Genomic DNA, 26,640 nt, shown 5'->3' with positions numbered 1-26,640 from the left:
TTTGGCCATTCAGAAAACAGTTGGAGAGTGTTCAGAGCAACCACAGAATCACGGCTTTGGAGACTGGTAATCTTTTCGGTGCAGGGAATATTGCAGAGAAGGTATCACAAAGGATCGTTACATTACCCACCACTGGCCCAAGGACCAGCTGACAATGTGGTAGGCCCTGTAAGGCTGGGAGGGGAACAGAAGGAGTAACATGAGGTTGTCATGCTGGCCCCCTATTAACTTCAGTAGGGAAGGCACCAGGTTCAAAGGCCGAAGAAGGGAACTGGAGCCGGCAAACAAGACATAGGGTTTATTAAGAGGACTTAATACAAGGGGTCCACTGGCAGTGCCCTGGGCAGGAGAACAACAACTGCTTATAAAAAAGCAAGTAGTTTATATAGCATTTTCACTTAGTACCCTCCCCCTAGCAACCTCTACTTGGCAACCTTCATTTAACCCAAAACAAAGGGCCTCCATCCCCTCTACAGCCTGCCTTCCACAGAATGGGCTAGAGGTTTAGATTTTGCTCATAGATAAGAAATGAATTTTCAGGTTGGCCACTCCCAGATTCCTTAGTTTGGAACTCTGAACACACATTCTTTTTAGATCATAGGGTTATTCTCAAGGTATGCTTAAGTTATGTTATTGCTGTCAGGTACAACTGCCATATAGCAATTCTCTCCTTAACTATCTTAAATTCTGATTACTACCTGCAGATGGTAGCAACTGCAAGAACCTCTTCTCCACTCCTGCTAGAATAACTGAAAAGAGGTATGCCCAGTCTGGAGTGAGGGCTTCTGAAATGGTTGCTGTGCTTGCCTTGCAGAAAACAGTGGGTCAGAGAGAGATGGAATTCTGTCAGTACAGCGTCCTTTGCAGGCCTTGGACTGTTGCCTATTGGTAATGTCACCCCACCCCCTACTCCCAGTTGTAAATTCCTTTGGCCAATATCTCTGGCTTGGTGCCTTACTTATTACAGAATTGTTATTCTGCAGGATCAGAGCCAGAGGCAGGCCAAATTTTTGCCAGTCATGCTGAACATGCCATCTTTCTACCCCAACAACTTGCATTTTCCCTGGGAGTCCTGAGAGTGGGGACAGGAGGAAGGAGGATTTTCTGTTGATTGGTGGGGATTCTTCTCAAGAATTACAGGACTTTTAACCCACCTTTTAGCCTCAACCAAGGAAAATGTTTTAATTCTGAGTCCACAGTATCTCCCAGGCCTTCATTGATGACAGGTCAGAGAAAAATGGCCAGAGGGTAAGAGACCTACAGGTGACTCTGAATTCTCTCCTTTTCTTTGTGCCCAACATGTGTCAAATGAGGTTTCCATCAAAGGCAGTTTGAAGGAGAAAAGCCATTAGAAAAGAGCAGAAGGGGCAGGGGGCAGAGGCATCCCACACACCTTTCCTTGGTGCTTGGCGGCAAAGGTTGATGAGGCATGAGGAGCACATAGTAGTGCTTAGTGATGACCGCTCCTCCCCTATGACCGCCTGTGTTATGAGTCAGCCTGCATGCGCAAGCAGGAATTAGACTTGAATAAGCATCATTCAGTGAGATTTGCTGTTTTTAATGTCTGCTCTTTCTCAGTAAGCAGAACCTTGAATTTGAGTCTAATTTGAGTCTAACCTTGAATTTGAGCAGACCTGAATTTGAGCCTAATGAGTCCACTTGGAGATCTTTAATACTTGAAATGATCCTTTTAACTCAAGACTTAACTTCCTTTTTTTAAGGATTAGATGAAATATAAACTGACAGTGTACAACAACTTATGTGAAATTTACCAAGTTCTTATTGTTCATGCACACATGTCCAACCAACTACAAATAAGATTGACCATAATTCTGGCATTAGATCCAACCTCTCCTAACTTGGAAATAGAAAACAACAAAAAGACCCAGTCAAACTTAGCTAATGGAACACATCTTTTTTTTTCTGCTGTCTCCCCTCCTAGTTTTATGTCATTCATAGATGATCTTCTCTGTCTTATGCTGTTCTGATTTGAAGTCACATCGATTTTGTGAAGCTATCATAATTGCAGAGAGTTGGCAGCCTATCTGTTTAACATTGGTTAGGTTTCACATTTTAAGTAGGTATTCCTTAAATGTAGTTCTTTATCTACGTCAAGCTACCATATTCCCTAAGTGATTACTGCACAGATCCATACAATGTTCATTTTCTTCCTATGCTTGCTTTTTGATTTCTTACTTCAGCTATTCACGGCTGCCTGCATTTGTATGATGGGATAAATGATAAATGGGCTATCTCTACCTATTTTTAAGAAAATAATCCTTTTCGGTCGAGTACTACTTGTAAAAAAGTACTACTTGTTACCCTTCTGTTAACAAGACATTGACTTTATATGTCTTCTTCCTTGTTACTGTCAAACATAAGCTCTCACCTGCAGCTGCCCAGTGTTTTAATGGCTAACCATTTCATACCAACACATACAGTTCTCACCAAAACTTCTGCAGCTGGAGAGGCACTGCAGGGCTGAAGGGCTAAACTAAGAGGGTGACGAGTAAAGAGTCTGGTGGCCCTCTGCGAGAAAGCACACCCTGGGCTGAGGAATAACAAACTCAAAGAGTCCGAGGTGAAAATGTTTACATAATTACTCCACTCTAGACACTGTCCTGCTCACCAGGGATATGGAATTGAGAATGTCAACAGTTCTTATGGTCTGTAGCCTGAACATAGTTTCCTTAATATTATTTGTAACTTAGTTTATTTTCACATAAGCCCAAGTGCTATATTGAGGTGTTCATATTTTATTTCTATTTTCTCAAATTTGGAAAAGAGAATATTAAAAAATCAATCTCTTGGGATACGTCTAATCAGCCAAACCTTCTATACTTAGGTTTTTAGACAATTGCTTTTATATGCATACCTTTTGGTAGCTGCATTACTCAATTCTTCTTTTGTATTGCAGTCAGAAAAACGAAGTGCAATACGTGTAGCTTAAAAAGTAGAAAAAACAGAATTTTGTATAATTTGTGAGACAGCTGCTTAGAAACAACTTCCACTAAATTTTACTTGATCAATATGCTTTCTGGGGCTAGGAGAAGTAGCTTTAGTAAACATCTAGGATATTGGTGCATGTCTCTAACTCAAACGGATTTGCCAAAAGAGAAATGACTTTGTTATTTGATGAAGTCAGTATTATAGCAGTTTCACCAAGAATGACAAAATATTCTGGACCACTTGTTTATTTGCCACAATATGTCGTGAAATAATTTTTTAAAGTAATGGATATTGTACTTCTTAAAGTAAAGAAATACTGTAGAATTTCAAATATATTAGTAGTGGTCTTTAGGTTAATAAAATATTGTTGCAATGATACACGGAGATCCTCTCTATTTTTTATGCTTGCAAGCTCTTTGGCAAAGTCTCTCAGGATTTTTTTTTTTTGGCATGAGCTGGTAATATTTGTCATGTGGTTATGAAATTGCAGAATAGAGTCAAGTCAGAATGATGACAGTGCAAAAAGGACTGTGTCAGTACTAATTTTATGTAGTGTATGTGTGATTTCCCGTCAACTGTCAAGAATTTAGGTTGACTAATTGATCCAGTTTTGCATATTGTAATAACACTATTTATTTTAAGGCAAATCCTTCTGATTTATATATTTAGATTTGATGACATTGGAGGATTCTAGAAGCTAGTTTCAGGATACTTTTCTTTAGATAAGGGACTTGTATCCAATGGAAGAGGCTGGTTATTTTCATGAAAGACAAAGAAATAATTACTTTACTTAGACACACACACATACACACACACACACACACACACTCTCTCTCTCTCACACGATCCTTGAAGCAAATACAGTTTAAGTAAAATTATTATCTTGCAAACAATTGAATTATTGAGATTTCTCCACATTTTTTCCTTTTTTCCTCTTACTTTCTAACTACTCCTAAATCACATTAATATGTCCTTTATATACTATGGAATTGCCATGACTGTAATTTCTTGTTATTCTCTAATGTTTGGCTTTTTCTCCATGTTTAAGTTTCTTTCTGGCATTAAGTTTGAGACTTAAGAAGAGTCAGTTAATTCCATCATTTCCCTGTGCTAGAAAACTCAAGAACTGGCAATAGCACTTACTTAGATGTTATTTGATAGAAAGGAACTTTGGCTCTAAGAAGTACCAATCTTGATAGGAAATTTAAAGAATTGAAAGGAAAAAGGAAATGATAGGTTTCTTAACTAATGTGACTTCAGATCATTTTACCATATCGTAACACAATAGTACTAACTCAAATCCATTTTAGACTGGATTTAAAATCACTTCTGCTCATATAAATTTATTCTATTTATTTATGATGTAGATATTAGTCAGGCTTATTTTTTCTAGATAATCTGAAGTCAAGCTGTTTGGTGAAAATGACAGTTCATTTACGTGTTGAGATATGACTCATATGAGGATAATTGCTTTGAAAACACTGAGTAGGGAATGCCTTCAAAATCCTCCTATACTTACCAATATCCTTTCGTTGCAACAAATTTCACTAATATAATATGAAAAACATATAAATGAATCATGACCAGTTGAAATTTATTGTTTTCCACTATGGTCTTACTATGGCAAATAAAGATGAGGAAATACTCAGTTCCAGTTTGCAATAATAAAACTTCACAGTAGGAAGATTGCATAAAAATGAGAGGCATTTTCTAGGAAGCAGGTTAAAGTGGAATTTTTAAAACGATGCTATAGTAGGTATAAGTAAGTCCAGAAATATTAATTTGGAAGGAATTTGACTGGAGGTTGTAAAGGGTCATCAGAATGGAAAAAAAAGAAGTAGGGCAAATCGTGTCCTCCAGTTCTCACTTGCAAATCCCACTGAAGGCAGTGGAAGGTTTATGGAAATACCTGAAAGACACATTTGACCTAGTTCAAAAGCTCTATTAAATTAGTATTTTAATAAATTGTCCTAGATAAGTCTTGTCTTTATGGTCCTTTTAACATTATTTCACCCATAGTTTGCTTGAAAATTACAGAAAAGAGGAAAAGCTAACAAGGGACATTTGACTTCTCCTTTAATTTAAAAGATACTAAGATACTTTGTCTTTTTCACAACCATGCTGAGAAAATGTCCTTTGTAAAGAAATATATGAATCCTAAGTAAGCTTTGCGTTTTTTGATGCCCATAATATGGGAAGTACAGACAGATATAAAATGTATAGTTCTGTTACTTAGCTTGAGGGAATTCAGTCCCTGAAATGAAACTGTGTCTAGAACTGATGGCATCTGATTTAAGTTTTATTCGATAATACTGAGCACATAAATGTTATCATAGTTGTTTCCTCAGGATACAAGAAAGCGCTAGGTAGCCTCTTTCTTTCTGTGATTCATATTTACTAAAACCTCTATTTTGGCCTGATATTGCCCAAGATACACAGCAATGTACCTTGTCAGGGGTACCAGATTTAGTTTCTGGAAATGCAGGAGCAAAGCATCACTTAATGGCATTTTGGAGTTAGCTATAAAACAAATTTGATTTCCTTAAAAAGATAGGCTTTGATAAGCACTTACCACTGGGTTTCAGACCTATCTTTGAAGGTAGGACCAAGGAGGCTTCCTGGAGACATCCATTAACCGAAAAGGGAGCCAGGTGAGACTTTCTCCACTCAAAACTATGTCTTATCCAGGAGGAATAATTTGGAGTATAGACTCTGGAGCCAGTCCAACCAAGTTCACATCCCTCCTCTATCACTTACTAGCTTTGTGACTGTCCCAGCCACTCCAGCTGTGGCTGAAAGGCTCCAACGTACAGCTCAGACTGTGGCTTCAGAAGGTGGAAGCTCCAAGCCTTGGCAACTTCCACGTGGTGTTGAGCCTATAGGTGCACAGAAGTCAAGAATTGAGGTTTGGGAACCTCCGCCTAGATTTCAGAAGATGTATGGAAACGCCTGGATGCCCAGGCAAAAGTTTGCTGCAGGGACAGGGCCCTCATGGAGAACCTCTGCTAGGGCAGTGCAGAAGGGAAATGTGGGGTCAGAGCCCCCACACAGAGTCCATACTGGGTCACTGCCTAGTGGAGCTGTGAGAAGACTGCTACCATCCTCTAGACCCCAGAATGGTAGATCCACTGACAGCTTGCACTGTGCACCTGGAAAAGCCGCAGACACTCAATATCAGCCCGTGAAAGCAGCTGGGAGGGAGGCTGTACCCTGCAAAGCCACAGGGATGCAGCTGCCCAAAACCATGGGAACCCACCTCTTGCATCAGAGTGACCTGGATATGAGACCTGGAGTCAAAGGAGATAATTCTGGAGCTTTAAAATTTGACTGCCCCACTCGAATTCAGACTTGCATGGGCCCTGTAACCCCGCTGTTTTGGCCAATTTCTCCCATTTGAAATGGCTGTATTTACCCAATACCTGTACCCTCATTGTATCTAAGAAGTAACTAGCTTACTTTTGATTTTACAGGCTCTTAGGTAGAAGGGACTTGCCTTGTCTCAGATGAGACTTTGGACTGTGGACTTTTGGGTTAATGCTGAAATGAGTTAAGGCTTTGGGGGACTGTTGGGAAAACATGATTGGTTCTGAAATGTGAGGGCATGAAATTTGGAGGGACTGGGGCAGAATGATATAGTTTGGCTGTGATCCCATTCAAATCTCAACATCAAATTGTATCTCTCAGAATTCCCATGTGTTTTGGGAAGAACCCAGAGGGAGGTAATTGAATCATGGGGGCCGGTCTTTCCTGTGCTATTCTCGTGATAGTGAATTAATTCTCATGAAACCTAATGGGTTTATTGGGGGTTTCTGCTTTTACTTCTTCCTCATTTTCTCTTGCCACCTCCATGTAAGAAGTGCCTTTCACCTCCTGCCATGATTCTGAGGCCTCCCCAGCCATGTGGAACTGTAACTCCAATTAAACCCCTTTTTCTTTCCAGTCTGGGATATGTCTTTATCTGCAGTGTGAAAACGGACTAATACAGTGACCCTACTTTGTTTTATCTCTCTGAGCTTCCAGTATCTAATTTCTTTAAAAAATTGATATGACTACAGGGTTTTGTGAGAATTTAAGGGTAAAAATATCTTTGGTGTGGGGGGTGGGGGGTGGCTAGAGCATTGTGTTTTGAAATTTAGCTCTCATTTTTATTTTATATGAAGCACCATCACTCAGATTTATTTCTTAATCCAGTTCTCCACCTCCTTCATTGAGATAATATAATAGAGGGTTGTAAGGGGGCCCTGAATGGGAGAAAGGATATATGGATGCAGAAGGAGATGCCACAAGATAAAAGCTGAGAGAGCTACTTCAATAAAAACTCTGTGAACTCTCCCCTCCCACCGTCTCTTGATAATAGCCTAACACTATTTGACAAAAGGTAAAGAAAGGCATTCTCTTTATTCTGCAACATGACCTTTGGGGGGTTTCTGTGCATCATCAGGGCAGGGTCAAGCAGCATCCAACCATCCACAGGTGAAAAGGCATGGGGCCGGGGGGAGGCGGGAGTGCTTCTGAAGGCGCGGGTGGGTGGGTTTGTGGGGCTGGAAAAGAGGAATGAAACCAGATGCCACAATGCAACTGCTCTCTCTGGTCCCTGAGCCCTCCTGAGACACTCCCAGGGGTTGCTACGAAACATGATCAAGAGCTGTGGGTTCAGCAATTGACAGAAATGTATCAAATCACTAAGCATTTCTTGCTTGCCTGTTACACATTGGGCATGGTGTTAGCAATGGTGACACAAAGATGATAAAGACGTCGCTGATCTCAAGTCCTTGTCTGGTTCAACCACGTGCCAAGACATTTTAATACTCTGTTGGGAATTCTCAGGCAGCACAGGCCCAGGCGTTAGCAAAGCAGCCAGGGATTTCAGACAGAGGGTGCCATCCAGGGTAAGAAAATGAACTTTTTGTGTCACATTTGCATTTTCATTCCTTAACTAAGAGTATCTGAAAATACTGATGGCACAAACGAACTAAATTCCTGCTTCAGCACCAAATGGATGAACTACTACGGTTTAAGCATTGAACTAGTCCTAATATCACCATTCCAGAAATGTCTTAGTATTAATCAGGACAAGAAATAGGGATCTCTTTCGCAAGAAGCGAGACTGCACTCCTTCCTTTCCTTGTATACGGAAAGGGGACAAAATCCACAGTGAAAGGCCTAGAAGCGGCGCACTCCGCCCACGGGCGGCCCACGTGTCCACCTATTCCGCACCGCGCCCTGTCCCATCCCTATGGAGCGGGGTCTGCCAACGCTCGCGAGAGCCCTCTCGGCTTCCACGTTTGCCACGTTCCAAAGGACCGAGACAAACTGGAAAGCCGAAAGAGGCTCGCGCTCACAGGCAGCTGCGTAGCGCCCGAACAGCCCTAAGTGAGCAGGGGCGGGGAGCGCGGCAGGGTACCGCCGCCTCGTAAGGGCCCTTGCGATTGGGTCCCAGGCGCCGTCACTCAGCCTTCCGGGGGCGGGGCGAGGCCGGGAAGGGGCGTGGCCGTCGGGCGGCGAGCCGCGCGCTCTCGCCCCGGGAGGGAGTCACAGGTTCGTACACGCGAGGCCGGGCGCGCGCAGCCGGCAGGCGGGTGAAGTCTTCCCAGGTGCTGCAGGCGGTGCTGAGGCACAGGGTCTGCTGCAGGAGCAGCGGCCCGAACCCGCTCCAGCGGCCCGCCGCCGCCAGCGGTTCCCGCGTCGCGTGTGTACCCCCGCGCACTGAAGGAGGTCCGCCAGCCCTCACCAGCCCCCGCGGACCGTGCAATGGCCCAGCGTAAGAATGCCAAGAGCAGCGGCAACAGCAGCAGCAGCGGCTCCGGCAGCGGTAGCACGAGTGCGGGCAGCAGCAGCCCCGGGGCCCGGAGAGGTCAGAGGCCCTGCGGGGCGGGGATCTGGGGCCTCGCCTCGGGGTAGGGAGCCGGCTGGCGCGGCGGACGCTGCGGGTGCATCTCCCCAGGTCCCACCGCGCGCCGCCTCCATCCCCCGCGACGCTCCTCCTTTAGGCGCGCGGGGCGGAGGCCGCATTCGGCGGGCCTGGCGGGCGGGCGAGGGGCCAGGCGGACCGGGGTCCGAGCCCTCGGGATGCTAGTCTCGGGGAGCCCCTTCCCAGCGGTTCCTTCACCTGCAGGGCGCAGCCGAGACAGAGGTTGCTGAACGACTGTTTCTTGGCTTTCCGTGGAATTGAACATGGGAGTAAGAGAACAATTTATCGTTTGCCTTGCGTGTTTTGGGGAGTTGAAAATGAGCCAAAGTCAGGGAAAGTGAGTTCCTGCCTAACCAGCAGCGTTTCAGAGCAACTCAAAGGAGGTGAAAATGGGGGCGCCGGGGGGCAGGGGGAGGGAAGAAGTTGGGAGTGATTTGAATGCTCTCAGAAATTATTTTAAATATTTTTGCTTGTATGTAGCTTTCTTAATATGCGTTGCAGTTGCCTTTAAAATAGAATGTCATGAAATACTGAACGAGCGTCTGTATTTTTACCACTTTTACTTAAAATAAAAATCGATTGGATATTCACCTTTCTCCTCGTCCGTGTGCATATCCAGCAGAGAGAACAGATTTTTAAATCTGTTTCGTCTCATATTTCAGTGATTCTTGGTTTCTTTTATACTTCCTTTGACTCATATTTGGGATATTGAAACTGCAATACACATGTGTATGGAATGTGAGCTGTAAACTTCACTTGAAGTGATTTAGACTCTTTGTTTTCTGAGATCTTCAGATCATGCATTCATAATATACCAAGAAAATGAATCAGCTATAGTCAAAGAAGTATTTTCTTTATAGCACTTGTCACTATCTGAACTTGTCTTATTACTTTCATGTGTGTTGTCTTTGGCTCATTCTCTCTGTATCCCCAGCTCCTAGAATGTTCCTTTCCCATAATAGGTGCTCAATAAATATTTGAGTAGTGAATGAATGAATGGATTTAAATGGGGAAAGTAGTGCATTAAATCCATTGCACAAATTTACATTCTAAGGACTAATATTTGTATTCTAAAAGTAAAGATGTAGACACAGTTTGAAGTTCAATGCAAGCATATTAATTCACCTTTGACATAAGTGAAAGTTTGTGTTCCTTTTTCACTTGTTCTTAAATGTCACTTACTTAAACCTGCAGAGGGATAGATTAATTGCCTCAGCCGACTGAGGCTACTCTTTTTTAACATCCCTAAATGAGAATGGGTTCTTCTCATTGTGCCTCTAAGGGCACTAAGCAGAGAAAGCTGATGAACAACTTTAATGTTAGTTGTTTTCAAAAGGTTTCTGTAGCTATTTGCCAGAGAAGCATGTCTTCGTTCCATTTCATTTTTGTGTTTATGAGGAGAGGGCTGATTGCATCTGAGGGAAGTCACTTTATATGGCCTCTTATTGGTGAGAACTAATACTGGGAAATGTGTCTCACGTTTCTAGACCTACCCCATAACTATTTGAAGCATTTTAACAGGCAAGAGATAGGTTTAGAAAATGCAGTAACTTAAATTAACTTCTCCTGACTTTCATAGTCAGGCATTTTAGAACAAACTCTGCCCATATTTGAGGATCTACAGCCTTTTAAGCATTTTACACGTTGATTCTCTAATAGTCATGAAACAGACATAGTATGTAAAAGAATATGTAAAAGGGAGGAATGCCCGTGATACGAAAACAAAAGTTGATATTGGAACCCTGCATGTGACGTAATGAGTATTCTTTATCCGCATATCCGCAACCTTTTCTTTTTTTTCTCCAGTAGATACTGAGTTCTTACTGTGTGCCAGATAGAAGGCACTGGGTATGGAAACCATTTCCTTCCATCACCCTAAACAGTTAAAGTACAGTGTCGTGTATAGTAGGCTGTACTCGAAAGATAAAGCCGGCTTTTCTTTTAATGCTGTTTACCTGGTCATTAAAGTACGGACGTTGTGCGAACCATTTCCTTCTACTGGGAAAATCAAAGACTTTTTAGCAGTGTCATACTGTGAGACCCATTTAGTTTCCTGCTCAAATCATACAGATGAGGAAATTAATGCCCAGAGAAGTTGCCGAGTTCATTGAAGGTTGTTTAGTTCATGGAAACTCAACTAATTACTGGAAGAACCGAGACTAAGAACCCAGGTTTTGTTATTCATTTTGCCATGCTTGAATTTTAGGTTCTCTAGTATGTAATTGGAGTTGAACTAGATTATCAAGTTTTCTTCTGGCTGTCTCCATGAGTACTACATTTAATTATTGGAGAAAACTATGCTTTTGTCCTATCACCAATTACATTTCCCTTGACAAAAATTCTATTTGAAACACTATTTGAAATTTTAGTTTGAGAAGAAGTATATGTGTTCAAATAGTACGTTTTTTGATATGTCTTACATTGAGAGTCAGAAAATGACGGCATTGGTCACATTAAACATTATTATTTCTTAAGTTGTTGTGTAAACGTATGGGGAAAAAAGAACCCAGTCATTTGAAACATGCATTTTAGGGAAAAGGTGATTTCTTTTTTTTTTCCTGGCCAAACTTTATCTTGGTGGTTTTTTTGCTGAAAAGTGATGTTTGGAAGCTGGAATTTGGGGAATTTATATCACAGATTTTTAAAGCAAGTGTCTGCTTTTTATTTTCTTCAGCTTAAGCTGAAAAATGATAAAATGGTTTTCTACAGAGTTCAATTTTACTTTTTTTTCAGTTTTACTCTTTATAATATAAAAGAAACATGAATAAATTAGACTTCCTACCTTTATTTTGCATATAGAACTGGACTTGCATGGCCAGTTGGGCCCAGGGGAAGCCTTTTTCAAATTTATTGATTTGAAAATAGTTTGACAAAGAAGGATCATGATGTCCTTTTGGGCTTATTTTGTAGACACTCGTATGTGTAATGTTTTCTGTTTGTTTGTTTAGTTTTTCCCTTTTGAGTATCACCCCTTAACTCCCTGTATCTCCTAGCAGCTTTCCATCTCCCTGTTTATTTTGTCTGGGTGTCCTGCTACTACATTAACTTTTGCCACTAGGTGTCACTGTAGAATATATCCCCCTTTTAGTTTGAAGCTTGGGGTTATGTAACAGCAGGTTTTAATTATTATTTAATCCGTCTGTATATACTCAAAACTATTGATAGATAAGCACTTAAAAACTCTTAGCTACTTTTTAACTCTCTCAAGGTGTCTCAGTAGATTGAGCAGCCTTTTTGTTTAGGCTTAATTAGAATGAAATATATTCCTGTACTGCCTGTAAAACATTAACAGCTTCATTTGATGAGTATTTGTCATTTAGAAACACACTTCTGAGTTTAGTTTAGCTTCCTTTTTCTTTCTACTTTGAGTGTCTCTTAGATTACTAAGTAACTGAGGGATTCAATACACTGCTGATTGCATTGTGGAGCCCTTGAATGAAGAGGCCCTAGCAAAATTTTCTTTCTTTAGCCAAAGACCATCAGAGCCAATTGCTTAATCCTCCATTACTCATTCTAAGATGAAAACATAGGAGGACCATAATTCTTCCACTGCAAGAACCGTCAGCTATTTTGTGTTCAGTTCAACAGCATTTTGTCCATCCTGACCAAATCATATGAAACCAAGCACTAAATAATGTTCTGAGGGAGTTTATGAACACATTTTCCAGAGACCAGTTAACCTCTGGTGGTCTGTGGAAGTGAAAGTTCTATATTTTGGACTATATTTTAGTCTTGCTTTAAAATAATCTGTCTCATAGAGATTATTAGAAAATGAATGTATGACATTTTCATTTTCAGCCAGTTATCAACAGAGGAACTTGGATAAAGGCTCATAGGGTCTATCCATCTTGTTGTTAGTTAATATCAGATACTTAGCCCCTGAGCTCTCTGGTTCCAATAGAAAAACCCTTTTCTCCAGAAAGCTAGTGCAGTTTGGGAGAAGGAATATGATGACCTGGATCATATCTGTGTAAGAATCAGAACCAAGAATCGCTAAAAATCTCTGTTCCCAGCCTCCTTAAATGTAAAGAATTATTATCTACTTTCTTTTCAGAGTTTTGATATCACTAATGCTGATTTCATATGGCTTTGTGTTTCTCAGTTGTTTCCGTTAAAGTACGTCTAATAGTAGGGGTGAGTGCAAAACTTTGGAGACTATAAAAGTGTAGATGTCATCAGGCCATTGCATGCTTTGACTTTTTTGATGATTTATTCTTATTTATTTATTTATTTTCATGTTCCATAGCATCTTTGTGTTAAGTAAAATGTATATTCTTGAGATAGAGTTTATACTATGCTTTGAGGACTGCTCGATACATTTCTCTCAGCTTCTGGAGGTGTAAGTATCCATTTGCACATCAACTTTCAAGTTGGTGATTTGCCCTTAATGGCTCAGAAATCTGTAACATTATTTTATCTTACCCAGGCTCAGATATATTTAGTCTTTTGAGGTAACTCCAGCCACTGTTTTAATATCATGAAAATATGCAGCTTAGTTTGTGGCTTGGATACTTCCATATCACCTCTAAATGGCTTGACTTCATTCTGTACCAAGGTACAAAAATGTTTTTCAAATGAACTTCTCTTTAATAAACCCTGTATGTACATATAACCTATGTACACCCCACCTAAACCTCCGGGGAAAAGCCTCAGCCATCTATCGGGAAATGTGGAGGTGCAAGGGCTGCTTGCTTCATTATCTGCTGCCAGTGTCTGCTCTGCACTGCACATGTGGGTGTGATGAGTTTCTCTGGTTCGGTCCTGCAGCTCTGGCCATTTTTATTAGAGGACTAAGGATTCAGGATGTTCTTTTCTTCCCTGTGTACCACTGTGGGAGTATAGTCTGGAGGCCAGTGCTTTAACTTTTTTTTAATTATACTTTCTTCTGGTACTGCTGGGAGCCAAGATGGTATTTTCTTGTTAGTCATTATTTTTAAAATTTTAGTATTTTATTCCCCTGATGTGAGGGATGCTTCAGGCTTTTGTCCTGCATTTGATCTTTGTTTTTCAGGGATGTGTCTTGGTTACCTTTGGCTGATGTGGTTATCTTTTAACGGCAAATCACTGAATGTAATTCAGTTCCTATCAAATTGGCCACAGCTGAGGACAAATTTGGTTTAGATAACCTATTAGACTCAAAGGAAATGTTGAGCTCCCTTGGTGAATAACTCTTTTTAAAAAGAAAATCATCTTTTGAAGGATCTGGGCTATTCGGCCCCCTGTGAGATTCAGGTCACTTGCCTAGTCATGTGACTGTCATCATCTGCCGTAGATACTATGTGTGCTCCAGAGCGGAGAGCATTGGTGAATTGACTTGGTTGAGGGGTGGGGGGCTGGGGGGTGGGAGTGGTTGCTGTCCAGTTATAGTCAGGTTTCCAAGGGCAGCCACTATCTCTGTACTTGGAGAAATGCCAGCACTTCTCTCCTACATGTGTGCCCACACGTTGAACCCAGTGACTCATCCTGTACTTAAGACCCCAAGGATCAGTCTTAAATTTAAAGTAGGAGAATATCCTTTGATAATTTTATTTCACAACCAGCATTGTTGTAACTGCCTTTTCTCATATTTTACATAGGTTTGACAGCCATTTCTACCATTCCATAGTGCAGAGTCACTATTATTTTGTTGTTCTATCCTGTCTGTAACTTCTTTTTCTTATTTATTATTCTTCTAATATACAGTTTTTGTCCCTATCTTTCACAGGCTGCTTTCAATTTCAATTTTCTTGGTATACTGGAAAGACTCTTTTGGTCTTAGTTTCACTTGTAAATTTTATTTAGGACACTTAATTTTTTGACTTACATAAACCTCAAAATCTGTGTTGTAAATATTTGTTGAAAGAATATCTAGCATTTAACTACTTTTCCATTCTTTGAATCAAGTCAATTTGTATAAGATGCTTGTCACTGAGTTTTTGTAAGTTGTTTCATGGATTTGCTTTTTGGCAGAGAGCTAGTTCTCTAACCTTTATAATAAAAATATTTCTGTGTATTGCTCTTTAAAATTGTATGTATTTGAAATAGTACATATTTAAGCCTATAAATAATTGTAGAGAGTAATGCAGTGGATGCCCATGTACTGACCATATAGGCGAAGAAATGAAACATTATCAGATTCCTAGATTTTCCTCTCCTGTGGTATTCCTTCCTAACCATTGTTAAACATTTTATGGTAGTCATTATCATAAATACAGGTATATATGCACAAAATAATATATAACATGTAGCACATACACATTATGTATCCACACATGTAAACTGTATCTATTATTAAATCAATGTATTTGAAAACTGCCCAGGAAGTATATCTATATCCCTATGTGTAGAAATATACCTATACACACACACACATATATGTATATATACTGTATAGCACGTATTAAAAGTTTTGTGAACAGGCTTCTACTTGGCATACTATTTTGACAGCATTTGTTTGAAATTCCTCCAAACTCCAGTTCTTTATTTTCACATATGTAGTTCTACACCATATGAATATGCCTTGCTTTTCATTTAGCCATCCTATCGCAGGCCACTTTTTTTCTTTCAAATAATGCTGCCCTGTACATGTATGTGCCTATCTCTCCCCATGCATACATGTCTGAGTGTTTTTCTAGGGCATAATCTGGAATTGGAATTGTGGGTCATAGAAAGTACACACATTAGACTTTACTGGATATTGCCATTTTTTAACCCCCAAGTGGTTGTATCAACTTACAGTTCTGCCCCTAATGAATAAGAGCTTGTTCTGTGCCATCATCACATTGTCAACATTTGGTGAAGTTTAATATTTGCCAGTTGAGTGGCTGTGAAGTAGTACTTGAGGGTTTAAACTTGCATTTTTCTAATTACTAGTGAAGTTACTGGTAAGAGTAGCCTTGTGTTTCCTCCTTTGAATTGCCTGTTCGTATATCTTGCCTATTCTTCTGTTTTTGTTTTGTATTTGTAGTATTGATAGGTAGATTTTTTTTTTTTAATATCCTGAACCTTTTGATTATTTTTGATAAAGGACTTCTCCTAGTCTGTGTTTACTCACATTTTCATTTTTTATGGTATACGTTGTTGAACAGAATTTTAAGATTTTAATATATTAATAGAATTTTTCCATTTTGTACTTTGTGGTTCACACCTTTATACTTTTTGTAAGACACATAACACAGATGTTATGAATTATTCTTGTATTTTCCTCTAAAAGATCTGAAACGTTGCTTTTTTACATTTAGATCTCTGAACCACCTGGTGTAGCATTTTATTGTATATTTTGTTATTAGGGATCTAATTCAGTATTGTTTTTTAAAAAGGGCCAATGAGAATGTCCTGTACTGTTAGTTGATTTGTCATCTTTTTACCGTAGTCTGCAGCATCACCTCTTGTGTATGAATACGTCGGGCTCTATTTTGTTCCAGGCATGTAGAAGCAACACCAAACTGAATTGCTCACTATAGCTTTGTAATGAGTCCACATATCTGATAGGGCATGTCCTTCTACCCTGCCTTTTTCACTATTGTGTTTGCTGCTTTGGGACCTTTCCTCATCCATTTCTCTAGATTTTAGAATCTGCTTATCAAATATGTTCATGAAAAATATTTGAGAATTTTTACTGGCATTGTATTGAATCTATAGAACAATTTGGGACAAATACAGATGTTTATAATACTGAATCTTCTTATACATGCACCTGGCCGGCTGGCCTGCTTTCTCTTCTTTCTTCTTTCTTTTTTCTTCTTTCTTCTTTCTTCTTCTTCTTCCTCTTCCTCCTTCTTCTTCTTCTTCTTCTTCTTCTTCTTTTTTTTTTTTTTTTTTTTTTTTTGAGTCATGACCTCGCTCTTTCACCCAGGCTGCAGTGCTGTGGCAGCCTTGACTTCCCAGGCTCCGGTGATCCTCCGACCTCAGCCTCCCTGGTAGCTGGGACTACAGGCATGCACCACCATGCCTGGCTAATTTTCTTATTTCTTGTACAGATGGGGTTTTGCCGTGTTGGCCTGTCTGCTCTCAAACTCCTGGGCTCAAGTGGTCTGCTCATCTCGACTTCCCAAAGTGCTGGGATTACAGGTGTGAGCCCTGCACCTGGCCTATAATTTCTTATGTATTTAAGTCTGACAATTTTTATAATCTTATTTGAAAGTCATATACATCTTTTATTAGATTAAGTCTGGGTACTTTGTATTTTAAAAAACATTTTCAATAGTATTTTTAAATTAACATTTTTTAATGAAACTTAAAAAATATGTATCCAAATTGAAAGAGTTCTGTAATGACTCCACCATGTAGATGCTACAGCGGTTAACATTTTGATAGATTTGCTTTGTCATGTCTATTAGTCAATCTTATTCTTTCATGCCTTTCGAAGTAAGTTGCAGGTATTAGTATATTTCACTTTCATAAACATTTACATGTGCCTGTAGCTAACTAGAGCTTAGCATTTGTTTTTTTTTCCCTCTGAGGTAAAATTTTCACGTAGTGAATTGCACAAATTTTAGTGTCTGATCTGAGGAGTTTTTATATCCATTTCTACCTTTGTAAAACAATAACCTATTAGGATAGAGAATATTTTCATCACCCTGTAAAGTTCTCTCAAGCCCCTTTCTTGCGTCCACCTCTGCCACCAGAGGCAGCCATTGTACTACATTTTTTGATCATAGATTAGTGTTTTCTATTCTAGAACTTCTTTTGCAAGTACTTTTTTTTGTAAAGTCTCCTTTCACTCAGCATAATATTTTTTAGTTCGTTTATGTTGTGTACACGGTCACTTGTTCCTTTTTATTGTCAAATAGTATTCCAGTGTCTGACTATAGCACAATTTTTTTTAAGCTTTTATTTTAGGTTCAGGGGTACATATACAGGTTTGTTATATGGGTAAATTGCATGTCACAGGGGTTTGGTGTACAGATAATTTTGTCACACAGGTAATAAGCTTAATACCTGCTGAGTAGCTTTTTTGATCTGCACCTTCCTCCCACCCTCCACCCTCAAGTAGGCCCCAGTGTCTGTTGTTCCCTTCTTTGTGTCCGTAGGTAGTCAATGTTTTGCTCCCACTTATAAATATTAATAAGAACATGGTTCTCTGTTCCTGTGTCAGTTTGCTTAGGATAGTGGCCTCCAGCTCCATTCGTGTTGTATAGCACAGTTTTTTAACCCCATCTTTTATTGGTGGACACTTGGGCTAGTTTTGGGTTATTATGAATAAAATTCTATGAATATTATAGAAGCCTTTTTTGACATATGTTTTTATTTCTCTTGAGCAAGAGAGGGATTACTGGGCTATAGGGTAGGTGTATGTTTAGTTTTATTAAGAAACTGTTCAACTCTTTTGCAGAGTAGTTGTACAATATATTTTATACTCCCACTAACCATGTGTGGAATTGGTTGTTCTACATATGTACCAACATTTGGTGGTGTCAGTCTTTTTAATTTTAGCCATTCTGGTGGGTATGCCGTGGCTTCTTACTGTAGTTTACATTTGCAATTCCCTGATGAATAATGATGTCAAGCACTTTTTCTTGTGCTTATTGGCTACACCCATTATCTTTAGTGAAGTTTCTTTTTTGCCCATTTCTAATTTTATTGTTTTTTGTTGCTGAGCGGTAATTCTTTATGTATTCTGGATAGAAGTTCTTTTCAGATATATATAGCACATATTTCTCCCAGTCTATAACTTACCTTTTTATTTTTTTATTTTTAATGCTGATATTTATTTTTTCTTTTCTGTTTTTGCTTTCTGTGTTCTAAGAAACTGCACATTCTCACGTCTCAAAGCTATCCTCTTTTATTTTCTTCTAGAAGTTTTATAGTTTCAGTTTTTATGTTTGTCTATGAGCATTTTCACATTAATTTTGAATTAGATTTATATTTTTCTATATGGAATTTCAGTTCTAGCACCATGTGTTGAAAAGACTTTGCTTTCATTATTGGATTGCTTTTGGTGCCTTTGTCAAAAAGCAAATGACAGTGTAAGTATAAATCTGTTTCTGAGCCCCTCTGTTTTTTTTTTTTTTTTTTTTTTTTTTTTTTTTTTTTTTTGAGACGGAGTCTCGCTCTGTCGCCCAGGCTGGAGTGCAGTGGCGGGATCTCGGCTCACTGCAAGCTCCGCCTCCCGGGTTCACGCCATTCTCCTGCCTCAGCCTCCCAAGTAGCTGGGACTACAGGCGCCCGCCACTACGCCCGGCTAATTTTTTGTATTTTTAGTAGAGACGGGGTTTCACCGTTTTAGCCGGGATGGTCTCGATCTCCTGACCTCGTGATCCGCCCGCCTCGGCCTCCCAAAGTCCCTCTGTTTTTTTGTTATCTGTTTGTCCTTATGCCTTTACTTTATCACAGAATCTTGATTACTCTAGCTATACAGTAAGTGTTAAAACTAGGTAGTGTAAATCCTCCTACTTTGTTGTTCCTTTTAAAATAGCTCTAAATAGTGTAGATACTTTGTGTATCCATATACATTTTAGAATCACCTTGTCAACTTCCACAGAATAAAGCATGCTAGGGTTTATGATTAGGATTGCATTGACTCCGTAGACCAACTTTGGGAGCATTAATCACAGTGATATTGCACATTCTAATTTATGATAGTGGTATATTTCTTCATTTGTTAGGTTTTTAGTTTCTTTCTGCCTTTTTTTTTGTAGATTTTGCTATGGAGCTCTTTTTACGCATTTTTCTGTTAAACATTTTTCTAAATATTTTGTATTTTTTGATGCTATTAGAAATCGTATTTTTAAAATTTCATTTTCCCATTATTTGCTGCTAGGATGTAGACATAGAACTGTTACATGCACCTTATATCATGTAGCTTTGCTAAATTCATTTCTTCTAGTAGTTTTTTTTAAGAAAATAGATTCTTTGGGATTTTCTATGTAAATATCATGAAGCCCATTAATAGAAACAGTCTTACTTCTTTTCCAGTCTTTTCTTGCCTTACTGCACTAATTAGGATTTCCAGTATCATGTTGAATACCAGTGATGAGAGTAGACATCCTGGCTTTGTTTCTGATTTTAGTGGCAAAGTATTTAGTATTTTACCATTAAGTAAGTAAAATATTAACTCAGGGTGTTTTGTAGATGCTTTTCATTGGATTGGGGAAATTTGTATTTCTAGGTTGAGAATTTTGTCAAATACTTTTTCTCACTCAAAGTCCCACTTGGTTGATTTGAATTGTCCTTTTTATATATTGCTTTATTTGCTAATATTTTGTCAGCAATTTTGCGTCTGTGTTTATGTTAGATGTGGGTCTGTAATTTCCTTCCTTTTTTCCTCTCCTCCTCTCCTATCCTCTCCCCCTGCTTCTCCTTCTCCTCTTACTTCCTTAAGAATTGTGATTAGTACGGAATATTTTCTCTGCACCTATTGATATTATATATTTGGTTTTTCTCCTTCCATACTTTAGATGGTAAATGATAACAATAGATGCTCTAATTTAAAACCATCCTTACATTTCTGGGAAGAATCCAGCGTGGTGGTTTTATATATTTTCAGTATTATTGGATTAGTTAATAGATCCATGAGTAAAACTGACCCGACATTTTCTTTCCTGGTTTTGTTATCAAGGTCATATTCTAGCTGCATAAATGAATTTAGGAAGATTTCTTCTTTTTCTGTTCTTTGGCATAGTTTGTATAGAAGTAGTTATTGGGGGGCTGGGCGCGGTGGGTCATGCCTGTAATCCCAGCACTTTGGGAGGCCAAGGCCGGTGGATCACAAGGTCAGGAGATCCAGACCATCCTGGCTAACACGGTGAAACCCCGTCTCTACTAAAAATACAAAAAAAATTAGCCGGGTGTGGTGGCGGGCACCTGTAGTACCAGCTACTCAGGAGGTTGAGGCAGGAGAATGGCGTGAACCCGGGAGGCGGAGCTTGCAGTGAGCCAAGATTGCACCACTGCACTCCAGGCTGGGCGACAGAGCGAGACTCTGTCAAAAAAAAAAAAAAAAAAAAAAAAGAAGTAGCTATTTGGTAAAACTCATTGGAACCTTTTTGTCATTTTACCCCAACACTGGGTGAGGTGTGGGTAGACATGAGGGGAAACTGCCTTTGCTTTTTAAATGTTTACAGGACTACTTAAAATTTCTGTGTCTTCTTGAGTTAGGTTTGCTATGTTATATTTTCTCTTGGTAGGTACATTTGAGTAAGTTATATTTTCTAAAACGTTTTCTGTCTTTGAAGTTTCAAACTTACTGGCAAAAAGTTGTGTATGGTTTTAGTGCTTCTTGTAAACAGAATATAGCTATTGTATGTCTAGTATTACCTTGTAATAAAATTCCATTTAAAATGACTAAATACTAAGTTTCTTTAAATTGTAACTATTTCAGCTACTAAGAATGTTTTGCTAAGTTTATTAAAGTAAAAATTCTTTATAAAATACATGGGATATTCTAACATCTGTGAGAAGGTAAGCCATTTAATACTGGTAATTTGGTTTAATTGACTTGATATGCTGCTCATTTTCCTCCTTAAATGGTAATAACTAGCAATAGGTACATTGGTTTGTTAAAAATTGAACTTTCTTCATGACTAAAATATAATGCTTATTTTCTTGAATCTTAAGATTTATTTGATTATTTGGTGGTTTCTAGCTGGTCCATCTGTTTAGTTGTAACCAGTAAATATACCTGGAGACCTAGGGAGCCTGGCATGGATCCAAACATAGCCCAATGTTTCAATCACATATTTGCTTTGTAACATTATTAAAATGAAATTAACTTATATGAAGGTGGAAAACTCTTAAGCCCCTTGTATTTATTTTATAGTTTTTTTCTAGAAGTAGTACACTATTTGTGTTAATAAGTACCCAAGCTAATTTTTAGAATTACCTTGTTATCAGTGAGACATTTAAGATGACTGGGTAGGATAGAGTAACATTGAGTAAGAGCACAGTTCACTAGCTTAAGTACTTTTACTGATTTGGAGTAAACTTGAAATAAACTATGTATGTTCAACACCTTCCTGCTCAGCTGGTCCTTCACCAGTGCCTTGTGGTCTTAGTGTGCTTTTAGCTTATGCTTATTCGTATTTTCAATGCCAGCTATTTCACATCTTCACCAACTTCAGCCAATATCTTACTATTTATCTTTCAGTTGTGGCAGACGGCAAACTACAGTGAGAAAAAAAGCAGAACAGTGGGGCCACCTCTGAGGCTGGGGATGGGGTGCAATGGAAATGGCCATGAGGGAATTTAAGCAGAAATATTGATGTTCTAGATCTTGATAGGGATCTGGGTTACATGTTGTATACACTTGTTAAATCTCAGGGAATGTATACTTAAAATTTATGCATTTCATTTTGTGTAAATTTCACTTTAAATAACTATAAAGAAATGTGTAACTATAGTTTATGATACTCATGCCGAATTATTTAGGAGATGTGTGCTGATGTCTACAGTTTACTTTGCAATGCATTATACAAACAAGGTGATGATGTAAAGGGATGAATAGGTATGCTACAAACAATATAATACCATGTTAATATTGTAGCGGAATCTAAGTGTTATGAATCCTTTCAGCTTTGTTGTGTTTTGCAAATTTTCATAGTAAAACATTGGGGAAATTCTTACGTTGTTTGTTTCCTGTGAAATAGCCATTTTTGTGGGTCAGAAACTGACAATTTCCTGTGGTTGAGCCCGACATATGGAAGCACATTTTGTAGCCATTTTATTGAGGCATCTTTATCTGCCTGGATGCTAACAGGAAATAGCTTCATTTTTCTCCATTCGTTGTGCACAGTTGGGATAGATTAATCTGTTTGCTCTTGGTAGCAGAGGATCTTGACCATCTTTGGGACAGAACTTAACATCTCAGTCACTCTTTTTAAAAGTCTGTCTGGATTAGAGCTGATCTCATTTTCGGTGCTTATGTTCCTGTCTCCCCTTTGCAGCAGGGCAGGAGGGGAAGGAGTGAGTGTGCTTTCCTGTGGTTTGCCTTTGGGGCTGTGCTGGGGAGGAAAAGGGGGTGAGGCCCCTCTCAGTCTCCTCTCTAAGTTGATAAGATTGACTGGCATGGTTATTCACAAGTGACAGGTGCTCAAACACTGCCCATGTGAGTTCTTTGAAAGGCCTGGTATGGACCCTCCCTGTGACACATGACTTGGTCCACCCTCAATCCCCTGGGCCTCCACTCCTGGCAGAATACTTCATCCCCCCTTGCTCTTGGGAGCCCATTGTGTGTCAGTCAGCCCTTTTGAGTGAGGTGCTGGCAAAATGGTACAAACGCTGGTACTTCCCTGCTGCCCTCTTGGATTTGTGGGAAGCTGACATTTTGCCTGGAGCTTGAGCTCCCTTGTAGCCGTCACCTTTCTCTGTAGCCGTCATTCCCCAGTTCCCTCTGCTGTTCAACTAGGCATAGGGTGGGCCATGGAGTCCGTTGCTTGAGTGGACATCCACTGGGGAATGAGAAGTCAATCTCCCTGCAGGCACCCTTGGTCTCTGACAGGCATTCTCCTGCAGAGAACTCTTGATATCTCTCTTAGAAATTTTTTAAGTTTTTATTATAAAATGGAATTTTTTTTCACAGTCTTGCAAGTAAACTATGTGCCTTCCTCTATAATACTGCTTTTTAAAAATTTTTCTTAGGATTTTCTAGGGTTGATAGAGTGAAACTCACAGTTAAGAGAAACTTTTTGATTTTTTTTTTCTCATTGCAACTGTCTGGTGATTTAATTTAAAGAGTCGAGATTTTGTGAATTAGAATAATGAATTTTTAGAATTAGAAGAGACATGAGATAATATACTTCATTTATTCATTATTTTTCATTTTACTGAGGCCCATGAAACAAGAAACTTACCTTGCAGTACCTGCAGTACCCCTCTCTCATTTGTCTTATGGCGAGGGATTTTTGGAATTTATAAACAAATATTTGTACCTTACCAAGTAGATTGAAATATGAGATTCACTATTCTACAGAAGTGTGGTTATTTAGCTTTTGGCAAAGTTGTGAAATTTTTACTGATCTGTATGTAGGAAAAGTCAGACTTCATGCTGTTAGGGTGAAGGCCGCTGTTAGGGCATCACCTGTTTATTCAGTTGATCATGTTTTCTGCAAGAAGTTAGGCAAACCATACAGTCTGAAGGAATAGTTCTCACAAGACTGCCCTCACTTCAGGCACCAGCTATAATTTTGGGGTCCCCAGGGTCCTCTGGAGATCACAACTGATATGGCATGTCCCAGCGCCCACTTGGTTAGGCTGTCCAGTGGCCAAAGCCCCCAGGCAAAGACACTGTTATCAGGCAGAACATTCCTGGGATCTGGAGACCCCACTGAAGTAACCAAGGGCAAAGACCAGACTTCTCTTTGGGTAAAGTTAATTGTTTATGCAATTTTTAGTTGCAGCCATTGTTGGTGTTTATTACTGTTACTCACTTTTATTATTAATTTATTTAGTAAGAGCTTGTTGGCCATCTGTGATATTGTGAAATATATATTTGGTCTTCTTCTTGTTTCCTGACATACATCTCCTAAAACCCTTGTGGTCTCCCAGAGTCTTAAGAGTGTCTTTCGCTAATAATTGACTGGCGGCTAACAGCCCCTAGATAGCTTCAGGATGGGTGCCGGTCACAGGAAAGACAAAGGCATCGTTAGAAGATTGGAACTTTCAGCCCCACCCCCAACCTCTGGGAGGAGAGAGGGGCTAAAAGTTAACTTGATCACTAGTGACCATTGATGTAATCAGTCATTCCTAAGTAATGAAGTGTCCATAAAAAACTAAAAAGATGGTTCCTGGAGCTTCCAGATAGCTGACAAAGATTAATAGAGGAGACAGTGTGCCCAAAGAGGGCATGACATGTGTTTAAGTTTAGCCTAAAGCTGCCTCCTTGCCTATTTCAAGTTCAGCCTAAAGGCTTTTCCATATGTAGTAAATCGTAACGTAACTAAATGAATAAACAGACTGTAACCTACCCTTGTATCAGTCACAGAATTTTAGTCAGTCACAGGGGTACAACTGTTCAAACTATATTCAAATATGGCAAACACTAAGCTGTAGCCAATCCAGCTGTTTCTGTGCCTTTTTCTGTCCATAAGTATTACCTGACCTTGTGGCAGCCCTGGAGTCTCTGAACTGCTTCTGGGTCCTGCCCAATTCAACAATTGTTCTTTGCTAAATTAAACTCTGTAAATTTAATTTGTCAGCCAGGTGTGGTGGCTCACACCTGTAATCCTAGCACTTTGGGAAGTGGAGGTGGGAGGACTGCTTGAAGCCAGGAGGAGTTCAAGACCAGCGTGGGCAACAAAGCAAGACTCTGTCTTTACAAGACATTTTTTTTTTTTCTAATTAGCTGCATATGGCGGTGCATGCCTGTGGTCCCAGCTACTCAGGAGGCTGAGGTGGGAGGATTGCATTCAAGGCTAGGAGTTCAAGGCTACAGTGAACTCTGATTGCACTACTGCACTCCAGCCCGGGAAACACAGTGAGACTCTGTCTAAATTAAAATCAAATAAAATAATTTTAATTTGGCCAAAGTTTTTCTTTAAACACATGGAAACTTGGCACTTCTTCCCACATACCTTGCCCTATGCATCTCTTCCATCTGGCTGTTCATCTGCATCCTGTGTAATATCCTTTATAATCAACTAGTAAATGTGTTTCTCTGAGTTCTGTGAACCCCTTTAGCGCATTAATCAAACTGGAGGAGGGGGTGTTGGGAACTCCGATTTATAGCCAGTTGGTCTGAAGTATAGGTGACAACCTACTACTTGTGACTGGCCTCAGAAGTAGAGACAGTCTTGTGAGACTGAGCCCTCAACCTGTGGGATCTGACACTATCTGCAAGTAGATAGTGTCAGAACTGAATTGAATTAGAGGACAGCCAGCTGGTGTCTACTGCAGAATTGATTGGCTGCAGAATTGATTGCTTACTTGCTGGTGAGGAGAAATCCCCACATGTTTTAGTGACCAGGGGCTGCAGGAATATTCTGTGTTGACTGTGGGGTGAGAGTACAGAAGGAGAAAATATAGAGTTTTCCCAATATCCTTATAATATCCCCAAGATGTATTATAATTCATAATTGTATCAACTGTTTTTTGACCTATGGTTTTCTACTAACTCAACTGTAAGACGTGTGTTTTATAATTTACAGGATTCTTCTGTGTATGCTGTGCTAATGAATTTTTGTAATCCCTCACTTTCCTCCCCATTTGCATCTGTAGGGCACTTTATTTTAAATGCTGGATTCTTTTGCTCCAGAAAGTGGGAACTGGTGGGGAGGAGGGCCATGGATCTTTTGCTGTCAAAATAGGTTAAAGTCAAAGAGTCTTCATGGACACAGCTGTAAACCAGTGTTAGTTGTCCATATTGGCAGTGTGTCCTTGTCTCATTGCCTTGAAATTTAGAGTTAAAGCAGGATTAAGCTTTTTTGTTTCTTAGTTTTGAAAAAATAACCTTTTTTATTCATTGTAATAACTTTTCTTTCACCACCTCAGAGTTTCTCAGTGGACATAGCTCATCTTCCTTTACACCTTTTGCTTCTCTCAGGCCAGTGAGAGACTGTCTTATTTTGAACACCATGCTAATAATTATCACCCACCCATGTGGACAATTGAATAGCTCAGAGGAATGCTTTTTTTTTTCTATGAGACCGTCTTCTCTATTGAGTGCTCTGTAGGGAGAAATAATTACGTTTGCAGAGCCGACTCATTAGGCCTGGCTTGAGGAACTAGCCTGTGAGGTTAACTACTATTTATATTGTGTTTTTATCTTCTTATCAGTGGTGTTTGGGTCCATCACAAATTCGTATGACAGGCATGGGTGGACCCATATTTTGATTCACATTCTCTGCTGCAGTAAATCGGTATTAGCA

The 26,640-nt window shown here is 39.5% G+C and overlaps 1 protein-coding gene and 1 non-coding gene across 69 annotated transcripts in view, besides 6 other annotated features; one reads left to right on the top strand and one right to left on the bottom strand.

Moving 5' to 3' along the window:
* Positions 261-1,460: an enhancer, noted in NCBI's record as "P300/CBP strongly-dependent group 1 enhancer chr8:62634171-62635370 (GRCh37/hg19 assembly coordinates)". NCBI's record gives its function as "activates an origin of replication core promoter dependent on BRD2, BRD4, P300/CBP, MED14 and CDK7 cofactors, with strong dependence on P300/CBP, by STARR-seq in HCT116 cells {active_cell/tissue: HCT116}" and the evidence as "EXISTENCE:reporter gene assay evidence [ECO:0000049][PMID:35650434]".
* Positions 261-1,850: a biological region, named in NCBI's record as "P300/CBP strongly-dependent group 1 enhancer GRCh37_chr8:62634171-62635370".
* Positions 1,224-1,608: a CAGE cluster, noted in NCBI's record as "CAGE cluster; bidirectional CAGE region". NCBI's record gives the evidence for it as "EXISTENCE:cap analysis of gene expression evidence [ECO:0000309][PMID:24670763]".
* Positions 1,254-1,850: an enhancer, noted in NCBI's record as "amplified fragment containing most of the chr8:62634023-62634407 (GRCh37) CAGE region". NCBI's record gives its function as "mid-level expression transcribed enhancer in HepG2 cells {active_cell/tissue: HepG2}" and the evidence as "EXISTENCE:reporter gene assay evidence [ECO:0000049][PMID:24670763]".
* On the bottom strand, positions 8,213-8,284 carry MIR4470 (microRNA 4470). The gene has a single exon (NR_039680.1). It is a non-coding gene; the product is annotated as a microRNA 4470 (primary transcript).
* Positions 8,271-8,640: a silencer, noted in NCBI's record as "silent region_19236". NCBI's record gives its function as "represses an Ori minimal core promoter by ATAC-STARR-seq in GM12878 lymphoblastoid cells {active_cell/tissue: GM12878}" and the evidence as "EXISTENCE:reporter gene assay evidence [ECO:0000049][PMID:35858748]".
* The window catches only part of ASPH (aspartate beta-hydroxylase), a 214,037-nt gene continuing 195,876 nt past the window's right edge, over positions 8,480-26,640 (top strand). For all 68 annotated transcript variants that reach the window (NM_001413901.1, NM_001413909.1, NM_001413895.1 and 65 more), the window contains exon 1: positions 8,480-8,803. In NM_001413901.1, coding sequence (NP_001400830.1) covers positions 8,701-8,803 — 103 coding nt within the window. In that variant the 5' untranslated portion in view covers positions 8,480-8,700. The remainder of the gene's footprint in view (positions 8,804-26,640) is intronic.
* Positions 8,681-9,110: a silencer, noted in NCBI's record as "silent region_19235". NCBI's record gives its function as "represses an Ori minimal core promoter by ATAC-STARR-seq in GM12878 lymphoblastoid cells {active_cell/tissue: GM12878}" and the evidence as "EXISTENCE:reporter gene assay evidence [ECO:0000049][PMID:35858748]".

This window comes from Homo sapiens, chromosome 8, assembly GCF_000001405.40.
Source record: "Homo sapiens chromosome 8, GRCh38.p14 Primary Assembly".
Classification (NCBI taxonomy): Eukaryota; Metazoa; Chordata; class Mammalia; order Primates; family Hominidae; genus Homo; species Homo sapiens.
The sequence above is the reverse complement of the archived record's forward strand: the minus strand, read 5'-3'. Positions and strand labels throughout refer to the sequence as shown.